Source organism: Homo sapiens, chromosome 1 (genome assembly GCF_000001405.40).
Source record: "Homo sapiens chromosome 1, GRCh38.p14 Primary Assembly".
NCBI classification, from domain to species: Eukaryota; Metazoa; Chordata; class Mammalia; order Primates; family Hominidae; genus Homo; species Homo sapiens.
This window is the reverse complement of record NC_000001.11, coordinates 199,382,331-199,396,451: the sequence shown is the minus strand read 5'-3', so window position 1 is coordinate 199,396,451 and position 14,121 is coordinate 199,382,331. Positions and strand designations below refer to the sequence as shown.

Below are 14,121 nucleotides of genomic sequence, written 5' to 3'. Positions count from 1 at the left end.
GCTATCAGATTACTTCATACTAGGTTTGATCCATCACCAGTCTACTCTGATGACAGCATTTTTATCTGGTATATAATGTATTCCATTTCATATATAACATATTTTGGAGATTTAAATGAGAAAGTGTAGTTTTGTTATTATCTTACAAAAACGGACTTAAACATTTATTCTATCAAAGTTTGTTCATTCTTTTTGGTATGAAAATTATTGTAGCTGACAGACAAGTTAGAAGCAAAAGATTAAGAAGCCCAGTTTTTTTTTTTTTTTGATACCACCTTTTATCAGTGACAAACAGCAAGCTCTGTTTTATGCAAATATCTTTTTTTGTTGTTGTTGGTTTTCTCAGCAAACCTTTATTTTCTTCAGAGAAATACTTCACTAACTATTTTTTCCCTTATTTGTTTACTTGTGTATTGCTTTTATTCCAAAGTAAAATAAAATTCATGGAAGTTAAAATTTTCACCAAGACAAGGAAATGATTTTTTAAATGTTCTCATTTTGTGTGTGTGAACAGAGTCATCCAGTCATCCAGCTGTTTTTCAATCCCCACATTATGCTTGTTTGTCAGATTTGTGCATTGAATTGGGAAAATATCATTCATTTACTGCATCTGACTTTGCAGTTTGTAATATAGGTCTGAGATGTATTATTTGTATTCATATCTCCTTTTTCTTTTCTCATAAATGCCATTAAAATACATCTACCCTTAGGTTCATGGGTTTTGACTGTAGGTTTATAACTTCATTAACTGGACTACTATGATGCCTCACTTACATAAATTAGTGCTGTTTGAGTTTGGTTATACGTCTACCATTTCATGTCAATCAGAAGTGTAATCACATCTAGTTATAGGGAATCTCCTGGTTTATTATTGTGCTGAACTGAGGCTCAATTTATTTTAGTTTACTTGCTCATTAATATTAATAATTTATTGGTCACAATATGTATGTTGGTCTATGGACTGTATTTGTCTATAACTTAGCATCTCCTGAAATTGTGCCTTATTATTATTATTTTTTTTTTGCATTTTTTGGAAAAAATTTAGTGTGAATTCTATTGTGGGTATATTTACATGGACATTTTTCTTTTTCCCTCTTTCCTTTTGGTAACAACTTTGATGAAGGAAAGTAAAACAATAATACTGATAAAATGTAAAATACTAGCTATTATAGTGTTCTCTCTACCCCATTAACTTAATAAATGTTGACTTCATATGGTCTCTATATAAAAAGCCAAGAAGGTCTCAGGTATGTTCACTCATTTTTGTCATTTTTTTTCTGCTCCTTTGATGGTGTCTATCACTTAGGCCACTTGAGTTCTGTATTTTGCTGGTGCTATTGCTGTTGATGGCTTTTATGAGACTCATGATGACGCTGCTGAGGCTGTTCTTTCCTGAAACAAGTGATTGAGTCACTATGACAGCTGCGCTCCCTGGAATTCTGTTGAGGTGCACAATGCCCTTGAAATCCATTCAAGTTATTGTTTTGTTCCAATAGTAATCATCTTGCCAACCTCTGTCTTTTAATTAGTGTATTTAGGCGGTTTACATTTGATATAATTATTGATATGTTAGGGCTTATGTCCTGACATTTTATTTTCTTGTTTTCTAATTGTTCTACTTTTTACTTCTCTATTTCCTTTTTCTACCTTTCCGTGGGCTACTTGGACAGTATTTTTAGGCTTCTATGTTGATTTACCTAATATGTTTTTGAGTGTATCTCTTTTTGTGTGTATCTATTTTTAGTGACTATTCTGGGTATATTACATTACATACCCAGAATAGTCACTAAAAATAGATCACACAAAAAAGAGATACACTCAAAAACACATTATCTGAATGAACATGGAAATATTATATATAAAATGAAAATAGAAATATTATATATATATAATTTTCCCATCTAGTGTGACATTTTATCAGTTTGAGTCAAATATAGTCATCTTAAATTTCTTTAAGTCCTTTTCATTTCCCCTGATTGTAGTAAAACTGTCTTAAATTTTTCTTCTACATACATTACAAACCACTTCATGATCCTGCAATCTCACTGCTAGGTATATATCCCAAAGAAAGGAACTCAGCATATTGAAGAGATATCTGCACTGTCGTGTTTATTGTAGCGCTATTCACAATAGTAAAGATATGGGAGCAACCTAAGTGTCCATAAAAGATGGATGGATAAAGAAAATGTGGTAGATATACACAATGGCGTATTATTCAGCTGTAAAATTAATGAGACCCTGTCATTTGCAGCAACAATGATGGAACTGGAAGATATTATGTTAAGTGAAACAAGTCAGGCATGGAAAGACAAACTTAACGTTTTGCACTCATTTATGGAAGCTAAAAATTAAAAAAAAAAAATGAACTCCTGGAGATAGAGAGCAGAATAATGGTTACCAAAGGCTGGGAAGGGTAGCGGGGAGGAGGGAAAATGGGGATGGTTAATGGGTACAAAAATGTAGTTAGAATGAATAAGATCTAGTATTTGATAGCACAACAGGGTGGTTACAGTCAACAATAATTTATTGTAAATTTTACAATAATTAAAAGAGTGTAATTAGATTGTTTGTAACAGAAGGAGATGACAAATGCTTTAAATGATAGATACTCCATTTACTCTGATGTGATTATTTTGCATTGCATGCCTGTATCAAAATATCTCATGTGCCCCATTAATATATACAGCTACTATGTACCTAGAAAGGTTAAAAATTTAAAAAGAACCAATTCACATAGTGTTAAAAGTTTTTCTTCAAACGTAATTGAGAACGCTAAAGAAGATAAGAAAAAACCTATTATATTGCCATATATATTTTTACTCTTTATGTTACTCTGTTTTTCCTCCCTGATATTTCAAGATCCTTTTTATTAAATCATTTTCTTTCTGTTCTAAGAACTTTCTTCAGTCTTTCCTTTCCCTTAAGGATAGCACTGCTGGCTAGAAATTCCCTTAGTTTTTCTTTATCTAATACTACCTTGCTTTCTTCTTAATTTCTGAAGGATATTTTCACTGAATATTGGATTCTAGGTTGATTGTTTTTTTCTTTACCACTTTCTTCCAGCCTCCATAATTTTTATGATAAATCTGCTATTATCCAAACTACAGGTAGGATGTAGTTCTTCTTGCTGCTTTCAATTTTTTTATGCTTTAGTTTTCATAGGTATGATATGATGCGTCTTGGCATGGAATTTGTTGGGTTCATCCTGTTTAAGGTACACTAAACTGTTGCTGCTTCTTATTCTTCATCTCCTTTTCCTCCTCCTACTTCTGTGCTCTCCTTCTTTTTCTTTTTCTTCTTCACCTCCTCCTTCTTTGCATGAATGAGGAGATAATGAAAAGTTTGACAGCAAAGAAATGGGCCGCAAGTTCTATTATGCTTACACTAAGCTTCTTATATCTGTAATTTGTACCTTTTGCCAAAATTGGTAAATTTGCAGACATTGTTTTAAGTACTGTTTTAGTCTCACCTTCTTTATCTTCTCATGGGACTCCAATGACACAGGTGTTTGATTCTTTGCTACAGGTTCGCATATCCCTGAGATTCGTTTCAGTTGAGCAGTGATTGTCTTTTCTCATTCAACTTGATTGTCCTGGTTCTTGGTATGATAAGTAAATTTCTACTGTATTCTGGACATATTGCGTATTAGGCTATGAGAATCCAGATCTTATTTAAATCTTCTGTTTCAGCAGGCCTCCTCTAATACCACACTGGCAGAAGTGCTACCTCATTACTGCCAGGTAAGTGTGGCCTTCACTGATACACAAAGGGGAAGTTGTACTTTGTTACTGATCGGCAGGGATGGGAGTTTAGGCTCTCACTAGGTCTATGATGGCATCATCCTATCTGGGAGGAGGAGAAGTACCTTGTTACTTTGTACCACATGACCTCTACTGATACTAGGCAGAAGGACAAGGCAGTCTTCATTATTGCTTGAGGTCATAAATGTCCTTTATTTTTCCTATTCATTCTCTTTGGACACTGTGATGGTTAATACTGTCAACTTGATTGGATTGAAGGATGCAGAGTATTGTTCCTGGGTGTGTCTGTGAGGGTGCTGCCAAAGGAGATTAGTATTTGATGCAGTGTACTGGGAGAGGCAGACCCACCGTCAATCTGGGTGGGTGCCATCTAATCAGCTGCCAGTGCGGCCAGAATAGAAAGTGGGCAGAAGAACGTGGAGAGACTAGACTGGCTTAGCCTCCCAGCCTACATCTTTCTCCTGTGTTGAATGCTTCCTGTCCTCAAACATCAGAATCCAAGTTCTTCAGCTTTGGGACTCAGACTGGCCTCTTTGCTTGCAGATGGCCTATTGTGGAACCTTGTGATCATGTGAGTTAATACTCCTTAATAAACTCTCTTTTATATATTCATCCTATTCGTTCTGTGCCTCTAGAGAACCCTGACTAATACAGACACTAACATGGCAAGGAGGGAACTGGGTGTCTTGTAACAGCCAGGTCAGCATGTAGATTGATTGCCTGCATGGTCTCCACTGACACTACGAAGGTGTGACAGGAGTTACCTTGGGACAGGAATGAAGGTCTTGGTTTCTTACTCCACCTTCTCTGATATTATCATGTGGGGGAATTTGGGTACCATGTTTCCATCTAATGAGGGTGGAGTCCAAGCTCCCGTCTAGCCTTTGCTGATGGGGTTGGGAGGGAGACTGCGTTATGCATTTCCATTAATGTTTGACTGGAGTTGTGCTGTTATTATCTAAAAGTTTTCTGTCTTGCTAGGCGCCCTTTTCGTCCTCTTTTGGTTAGAGAGAGCAGGCTTTTCATGAGAAAAATCTCTTAGCTGCAGCCGATGATATTTCTGGGTTGCTGGATTCTTTAGCACCCAATCCAGGATATATGAGATAAAAGGGAAACTCAGGAAACACACTGCTGTCATTCTTTGGTCCCACGGTCCCTAGCCAGTCTTGTCTCCACTTTCAGAGTCTTCTTATGTTTCTTTTACATATAATGTCTGAGGTTTTGATCTGTACTTAATGAGAGGAATAGGGTAAAGTATGTCCACTCCATCTTTTGAGACTTATGTTTTAGTATAGTAAAAATTTGACTTTTATCTCTTCTTTCCAAACAGTTGATTGCATATCCGAAGAGTAGTACTGCTAAAGTGACAGCTGAAATTTTAATAACAACAAGGGGAAAGAAAGTCTCATTACTTACAATTTTGGAAAATAAGATACTGTTAAGCCTCTACATTTCCACATGCACAAAGGGAGTTAGCCTAACCTTAACATTTAATAATAAGAAACTATTCTGAAGCAAATAATTACTGACAAAAATGAAAAGGAGACAAAAATAATACTCATTTCCCATAATATTTCAAAATAAAACATTTTTAAAAAGTTTATTTATAAAACATGTGTTTGAGACATTAGTGCTTTGAAATGAAAATATGCTCTATTCTACCATCATAATTGTTTAGGAAAGTTTAATATAACTTACTCTGCCCATTATTCTCAGTGAGTTATGTTCTTTTTTTCCTTACTTTGAGACAGTGCTTCAAATTGTTTTACTTATTTTTTTTAATTTTTATTATTTTATATCTCCAAGTTATTGGATCTTCTGGAAAACAGTTGAACCCTGTAGCATATGATTCAGTAAATGCTTTAAGCTAAATAGGCCCAAGAAGAACAACATAAAAAGCTTTCCTTGCCCATAGGTGATTTATCTTTGGTCCTAGAACACAGAATTTCACAGATAGGAAGAACCTGAGTGCTTTTTCATACCACTAGTTGTCTTAAATGTATGTCCAACAGAGATGACATGAAATAAAAATTAAAACATTGTGCAGCTGGAAGCAGAGTGAGGTTGAGGTCACAGTATAAATATACCTTAAGAAGTGTAAGTGATACAGGTAGATCTAGGACTGAAGGAATGTGTCGTTCTTGAAGAGATGAGAGCTTAGCAGTTGATAATGGATGAAATAGTAATGGAGAAATTTTTTATTTAGGAGATTAATTTATGATGTATAATAAGGTTTGTAAAGACAATATTCAAAATCTTGAATGAGTTGTTGCTATACTGCTCTGGAAAAAAAATGGTATATATTTTGGTAGTATGTGCTGGAAAGTCAGAAACTTCTAGAGTAAAACAGACTTTCCTATTTACTTTCTGTTTATATGGTTTTTTTGTACATGTTAAATATAAATATTTCTATTAGGAAAATAATAGCACCTATAGAAAAATTCTAATAGCCAATCAACCTAAATGCCCGTCAATGGTAGACTGGATAAAGAAAATGTGGTATGTATACACTGTGGAATACTATGCAGCCATAAAAAAGAACAAGATTATGTTCTTTGCAGGAACATGGATGAATCTGGAGGCCATTATCCTTAGCAAACTAACACAGGAACAGAAAACCAAATACCACATGTTCTCACTTACAAGTGGGACTTAAAGGGTAACACATGGACACACAGAGGGGAGCAACACACACTGGGGCCTATTGGAAGGTGGAGGTGGAGAGGTGGGAGAGGATCAGGAAAACTAACTAATGAGTACTAGGCTTAATAGCTGGATGATACAATAATCTGTAAAACAAACCCCCATGACGCACGTTTACTTACGTAACAAACCTACATATGTACCCCTGAACTTAAAATAAAAGTTAAATCAAAAAAGTACATGTGTTCTAAAAAAAAGAAAAATTCCAATACCTTGAATTTTACTGTTTTACCTGTATTAGTATATTAAGAGGTTTCTGATCAAATATGTAACTAAAGCTGAAAGAATAGCTATAATTTGTCACATCTAGAAGGTTTCTTTAGCTCTATTATAGGATGGACTAATCTTTTCATGGGAAAAATTTTATTTTAAGAGAGAATAATGCAGCCTGACCCAAGGACAGATGGAAAGATAATCTTGAGGTGATCATAATGTAAATTACTCAGAATATCTAGACCATTTTCTTCTATTCATCCCCTGCAATTCAAGCAAGGAGCAAGAACTACCACTTTTGGAGGGTCATTTCCCCTGGGTACAGGCCTGGAGCCTCTGCAAAAAGTGACCTGAGATCCTTGTAGCCATCCTCAGAGTCAGATAGGTGCATACTGAATGGTAAGTACCCTGATAATGTCTTCGAAGGCCACTATATGAGACATCTTCTGAGTTTTCCCAAGTATTCCAGAGAGACTGGAGCAGAAGCTAGAAGTGTCATTACGGATAACAATTCTGAAGATGAGAGCCGAACCAGTAAAAACAGCTTGTTTCGCTTATGGTGACTTATATAACTTCTCTAGGTTGATGCAGTCTGGAAAGACTAATTAGAAACCTAAATTATTTTCAATATTTATATTTATTTAGAACTAATTTATAGCACATATTTGAAAATTAGTTATTTTATAGTTATTTTTTGGCACTGGCCAAATAAAAATACTTTAATCAACCACTCTTTCCAAAAGACTTGGTTCCAGAGACTTGTGCTGATCCACAAATATTTGCTGCTATGTCTCAATATAAAATAAATATTTTGAACTTACAGAAGAGAAAAAGTAATAGCTTTCTCTCACCCATATACAAGAAAGATTAACAAGAGAAAAGCATAACAAATTTGTTTAACAGAAGTTTTACATGATATGGGGGTTTTCAGAAGTGAAGACCCAAAGACTCAGGGAAAAATATGTATTTTTATGGCTTAGGTTTGATGAAGTATTTTATTTTTATTTACAAACCTTCTTTTTTATTTATTTTCTCATTAAACTTTGTTTTAATGGGTCTCAAATTCTGTGACAGATTTTTGGTCAAGTTGTTTTTAAAAAACTAATAAGTTAAAACTGCCACATGCAAAAAAACAAAAAAACAAAAAATGGCCCACAAAACATTCTCCTTTCCTTTTAAAGGTTTTATGATGCATTATTATCATTAGCCAGTCTTTTAAATGGCCAGTTGAAACAAAGAGTTTTGAGGCTCTTCTTCCACAACTGTTAAGACTGGGTTGGCAGGTATTAGGGATAATATTCATTTAGCCTTCTGAGCTTTCTGGGGAGACTTGGTGAACTTGCCAGCTCCTAGCAGCCTTCTTGTCCGCTACTTGGATGACACCACGGCAGCTGTCTATCTCGCATTACGAACAGCCAAAGGACGCAGAGGAGGATAGTCAGAGGAGTCCTCAACATGCGTGGCTTGCCAGGAACCTCATCAACAAATGGCAGCATCACCAGATTTCAAGAATTTAGGGCCATTTTCCAGCTTCTTACCAGAATGGCAATCAATCTTTTCCTTCAGTTCAGCAAACTTGCAAGTAAGGTGAGCTGTGTGACAATCCAGTACAGGGGCACTGCCAACAGGGATTTGGCCTGGATGGTTCAGGATAATCACTTGAGCAGTGAAGCCAGCTGCTTCCATTGGTGGGTCATTTTTGCTGTCACCAACAACATTGCCACAACGAACATCTTTGACAGACACATTCTTGATATTGAAGCCCATGCTGTCCCCAGGAAGAGCTTCACTCAAAGCTTCATGGTGCATTTCAACAGACTTTATTTCAGTTGTAACATTGACTAGAGCAAAGGGAACACCATGCTGGGTTTGAGAACACCAGTTTCCACTCAGCCCAAAGGCACATTACCAATACTACCAATTTTGTAGACATCCTGGAAAGGCAGATGCAACTTGTCAGTTGAAGGCATTGGTTTGGATGGATGCAATCCAGAGCTTCTAGCAGTGTGGTTCCACTGCATTGCCATCTTTACAGGTGACTTTCCACCCATTGAACCAAGGCATGTGAGCACTTGGCTCTGGCATGTTGTCTCTATTCCAACCAGAAATTGGCACAAATGCTACTATGGCAGGTTTGTAACCAATTACTGTAAGTGCTAACTTCCTTAACAATTTCCTTGTATTTCTTCTGGCTGTAGAGTGGCTCAGCAGAATCCATTTTGCTAACCAACAATTAGTTCTTTCACACTCAGTGTGGAAGCCAGAAGGACATGCTCATGGCTCTGCCCATTCTTGGAGATTCCAGCTTCAAATTCATCTACTGTGATGTATATGTGAGCAGTAACAATAAGGACAGCACAGCCAGCTTGAGATGTGGCTGTAATCATGTTTTTGATAAAGTCTCTGTGTTCTGGGGCATCAATGATAGTCGTATCTGATGGTCTCAGATTTCCAGAGGGGAATATCAATGGTGACATCATACTCAGGCTCAGCTTTCAGTTTATTCAAGACCCAGGAATACTTGAAGGAGCCCTTTCCCATGTCAGCAGCCTCATTCTCAAAATTTTCAGTGGTTCTTTTGTCAATGCTACTACATTTATAGATCAGATGGCTGGTAGTGGTGGACTTGCCTGAACCTGGGGTCCAAGGCAACCATGTGGATACAAATTTTATTCACTTTCCACTGTGGCTTTTAGGGGTGGTTTTTACAATACCTGTGTTCTGGTGGCAAACCTGTTGCAAAAGAAAAGCTATTTTTGTTTTATTTTAAATTCAGTTCTATATTAGAAGCCTCAAGAAGGTCTATTTTGGAACTACTAAATATGCTTTTATACTTCAACTGGACATGTGACCATGAGCAAGTAAGTCATGAAACCTCTTTGATAACAAGTCCCTGGTCTGTGACCTAAGTTTTTCACCTTCGCTCCCTCCCCACCACCCACCGGCACCTTGGATGACACAGGAAGGCTAGAGGTGGGCTGAAGTTGCTTTTCTGCCTATGTGAGATAAAGCTCTGGTGAAATATTTTTCACTGGACAATGGACCTTTATTATTCATCTGGAGAACACATTGGTCATACTTCAAAATGGTATCTTTCACCTCTTCCTGCCAAAAATAAGAAGTGAGCTTTCTTGGCTTTTCAAACCTGCTGGATTTCCATGAAAGTATTGAGAATGCAGCTCCAAGGCATCTTTCACTCTGAAGGAAGTCTACACTTAACCCTCATCCATTCATCAACATTACTATTTAACTGTCTCTACAAGTTTATATTTCCAGCAGCTTCTGTACCAGATCAACTGAATTCAGCTGTGTTTTTGTGAATTTGTCCATCTTTCCAGATTTCTGAAAGCTGGTTTGCCCTGCAACCTCAAGAAAATTATTTTCCCCCCAATTTGTTCAGTTATTTTTTCTTCTAAGTACCCACGTGACAACTTCAAAGCTCTTTACATGTTGGAGCTGAAACTTGAAATACCATTTTTTTAAAATAAAAATTTACATTAACTGTATTTGCCACTTGTCTCTTATTAGATTATGAGTTATATTCTTAACAGGTACCTTATTAGAGGCAAAAGTGGCTCATATTCCTGGTAGAATTTTTTATGTACTTCTAATATTGTTCTTTAGCAACTGTGACACATATACCTTAGAGTAAAGGTCCTTTTGCCGCTATAGGCATTATTTGTAGTACATTTTCAAGAACTCTACAAGAGTTAGGGGTAAAGATCAAATCTAAACTATTCAGATTGATATAAAAGGTTTCTCTCAGACATTGACAGGTTCAGATATCATATTTCAGTCTAGACATTTCCAGCACACATTTATATGAACTTTAATTCAGGAGGTATAAAAGTACCATCAATCTACCCAACAGAAGTGCTGTTATGAATATGATTTATGCTTACATATAAACACTTTATTTATTTTAATTTTTCTTTGAGACAGAGTCCCACTCTGTCACCCAAGCTGTAGTGCCGTGGTGTGATCTCAGGTCACTGCAACCTCTGCCTGTCAGGTTCAAGCAATTCTTATGACTCAGGCTCCCAAGTAGCTGGGATTACAGGCATGCGCCACCATGCCCAACTAATTTTTGTATTTTTAGTAGAGACAAGGTTTTGCTATATTGACCAGGCTGGTCTCAAACTCCTGGTCTAAAGTGATCCACTTCCTCAGCCTCCCGAAGTGCTGGGATTATAGGTGTGAGCCACTGTGCCTGGCCATAGCAACACTTTTAGCGAGAGCTGTGGAAAGCTGAAAATCTCTAGCAGGCGTTTGGGTTGTTCAGTTCCACTGTCTTTTCCAACTCGTCAATTGAAAGTATAAAGTAAAAAAGAAGTGCCCAGATGTCCTTTCTTTCTTTATATTTTTCCATGTCAGAAGAGAAATTGAAAATCAGAGATGAGGAATCCGAGAAGCATATATTGGATATACTTTGTATTGCTCTGACACTGATAAGAACTTATGCGCATTGTCTCAAGTTCCTCAGAATACATATAAAATGGTATGGCAGAAACATTTCTGGGATGGGTGTGTAATGACCTCTGTGAACCCTCTCCCCAGTGAAAGAACTATAACTGTTGAAAATTGTTAAAAAAAAATTTAGTCACTGGAAACTGTTCTAAGAACATAGAGGAAATTGAGAAATATTTATTCAAGAAAATCTATAATACTAAGTCTGAGTAAGAACTATGGAAGTCTGTTATATTAAAGACATGCCTGATCCCCAGCTCAGTGTGATTTAAGCCCTATTCTCAATGGATTCAGCCAAGAAAAGGAAGCTTACTTCACTCTCATCTCCCAGTCTAAGGCAGCAGTTTTTGCCTGGAAGGGACAGTTTAGTCAAGGAGGAAGAGAAGAATGAACCATGAGACATATAGAAAATGAAAAGCAAAATGACAGCCATAAGTCAAACCATATTAATAACATTAGATGCAAATGTTTTTAACAATCTAACCAAAGACAGGAATTGTTAGATTGTGCAAAAAACAAGATTCAACTACACACTGTCTATTGACAGCACACTTTAGATTCAAAGATAAAAATAGGTTGAAAGTTAAAGAATGAAAAATTTTGTGTCATGCAAATAGCAATCTTAAGAGAGTTGGAGTGACTATACTAATATTATGAAAAAAAGAATTTTTTTTTTTTTTTTTTGAGACAGAGTCTTGCTCTTGTCACCCCCAGGCTGGAGTGCAGTGGCATGATCTTGGCTCACTGCAGCCTCTACCTCCTGAGTTCAAGCAATTCTCCTCCCTCAGCTTCCTGAGTAGCTGGGATTACAGGCACCTGCCACCATGCCCAGCTAATTTTTTTATTTTTAGTAGAGACGGGGTTTTGCCATGTTGGTCAGGCTGGTCTCGAACTCCTGACCTCGTGATCTGCCCAGCTCAGCCAAAGTGCTGTAATTATAGGTGTGAGTCACTGCACCCAGCCCCCAAAAAAAGAATTTTTAAAAAGACAAAGTTACTAAAGAAGAATGTTTTATCATTAAAAGGGTCAATTCATCAAGAAGATAATAATTATAGACATATATGTATTTAACAACAGAACCCAAAAATGCATTAAGCAAGACTAACAAAATTGAAGGCATGAAATGGGCAATGCAACAATAATAATTGGAGGCTTTAACAACCTACTTTCAATGATGTGACTATTTAGAAGACCAATGAGAATGCAGAACCCTTTAAACCAGTTAAAACAAATGGACATCTACAGAACACTTTAATTTGCTGAGTATACATTGTCAAGCATACATGGAACATTATCCAGAATAAACAACATACTGGGCTAAGAAATATGTGTCAGCAAATTTAACAGTGTTAAAATCATATGAAGTATGTTCTCTGGACAAAATAGAATTAAGTTAGAACAATTAAAGGAACTTCAGGAAACTCACAAATATGTGGATATTAAACAATGTGCTCCTAAATAACCAATGAGTAAAAGAAGGCATTACAAAGTAAATTAGAAAATACTTTGAGATAAAAAAATGAGAACACAACATGCTAAAATTTGTGATATACAGCTAAAACAATGCTTAGAGTGAAATTTAGTTGTGTAAATGCCTGTATTTAAAAAAGAAGAAAAACTTTAAATCGATTACCTAAACTTTCACCTTGAGAAACCAGAAAAAAAAGGTCAAACTAAATCCAAATGAAACAGAACAAAGAAAATAATAAAGATTATAGTGGAAATAAATAAAATAGAGAAAAAACAATACAGAAAATGAACAAAACCAAGAGATTTTTTTAAAAAATCAACAAAATTGACAAACATTTAGCCATTATGATCATGCTAACAAGACAGAAGACTCAAATTGCTAAATCGGGAATGAATAGTTGACATTACTAATGTCTTTACAGAAGTAAGTATGACTATAAGGAAATACTATGAAGTACTGTATGCCAGTAAATCTATGATACAATTACCATGTTCCTAAAAAGTTACATTCAAAACTGACTCAATAAGAAATTGAAAATCTAAACAGACTTATAATAAGCAAGGACTTAATTAGGAATTTTAAAATGTCTGCAAACAACATTTCCATTCCAGGTAACTTCATTGGCAATTTTTATCAAACATTTAAAAGTTAATACCAATCCTTTACAAACTCTTCTGAAAATGGAAAAGGAAGAAACACTTATGCCCTTATTCTATGCAGTCAGTATTGCCCTGATACCATAATCAGACAAGGCAACTCAGGGAAAGGGTATACTGTACCAGTATTTTTTATGATTATTGACACAAAAATCTCTTCCAAAATATTTACAAACTGAATCCAGCAACACACGCAAAAAAAAATTCACACCATGCTCAAATGCAATTTATCTCAGGTTGAATTAACATATGAAAAGAATGTAACATGCAATATTAATAGAATAAAGGACAGAAATCGTGATCATGTCAATAGGTAATTTTTTTAAACAAAATCCAATATACTTCCATTGCTCTAGCCAGAGCAATTAGGCTAGCAGTAGTAGTAAAAGACTCAATTGGAAAGGAATAAATAAATTATTTCTACTTCAGCAACATGGACCTTGTACATAGCAAGTCTTAAGGACTCCACTAAAAAACTATTAGTACCAGTAAACAATTTCAGCAAGGTTGCAGGATACAAGACCAATAGATGAAAATCAACTGTGTTTCTACACACTGGCAATGAACAACCTGAAAATAATATTAAGAAAACAATTGCATCTACAATAGCATCAAAAATAATAAAATATTTAGGAATATGTTTAAAGAAATGTAAAACACATATTCAGAAAACTATATAACGTTATTGGAAGAAATTATAAGATCTAAAGGAATAGAAAAATATTCCATATTTATAGATTAGAGGACTTAATATGTTAACATGACAATATTACTCCCCATGATGGTCTACAGATTCAACACAATCTCTATAAAAATCTCAGCTTTTTTGCCTAAGTGTAAAAACTAATTC

General features: G+C 35.6%; 1 long non-coding RNA gene and 1 pseudogene across 1 annotated transcript in view; both read right to left on the bottom strand.

The window, feature by feature from the left end:
• Positions 1 to 3,144: 3,144 nt before the first annotated feature.
• The window catches only part of LINC02789 (long intergenic non-protein coding RNA 2789), a 244,710-nt gene continuing 233,733 nt past the window's right edge, over positions 3,145 to 14,121 (bottom strand). The window contains exon 4 of the long non-coding RNA NR_147896.1: positions 3,145 to 5,131. This is a non-coding gene — a long non-coding RNA (long intergenic non-protein coding RNA 2789). The remainder of the gene's footprint in view (positions 5,132 to 14,121) is intronic.
• On the bottom strand, positions 7,983 to 9,311 carry EEF1A1P44 (eukaryotic translation elongation factor 1 alpha 1 pseudogene 44; annotated as a pseudogene).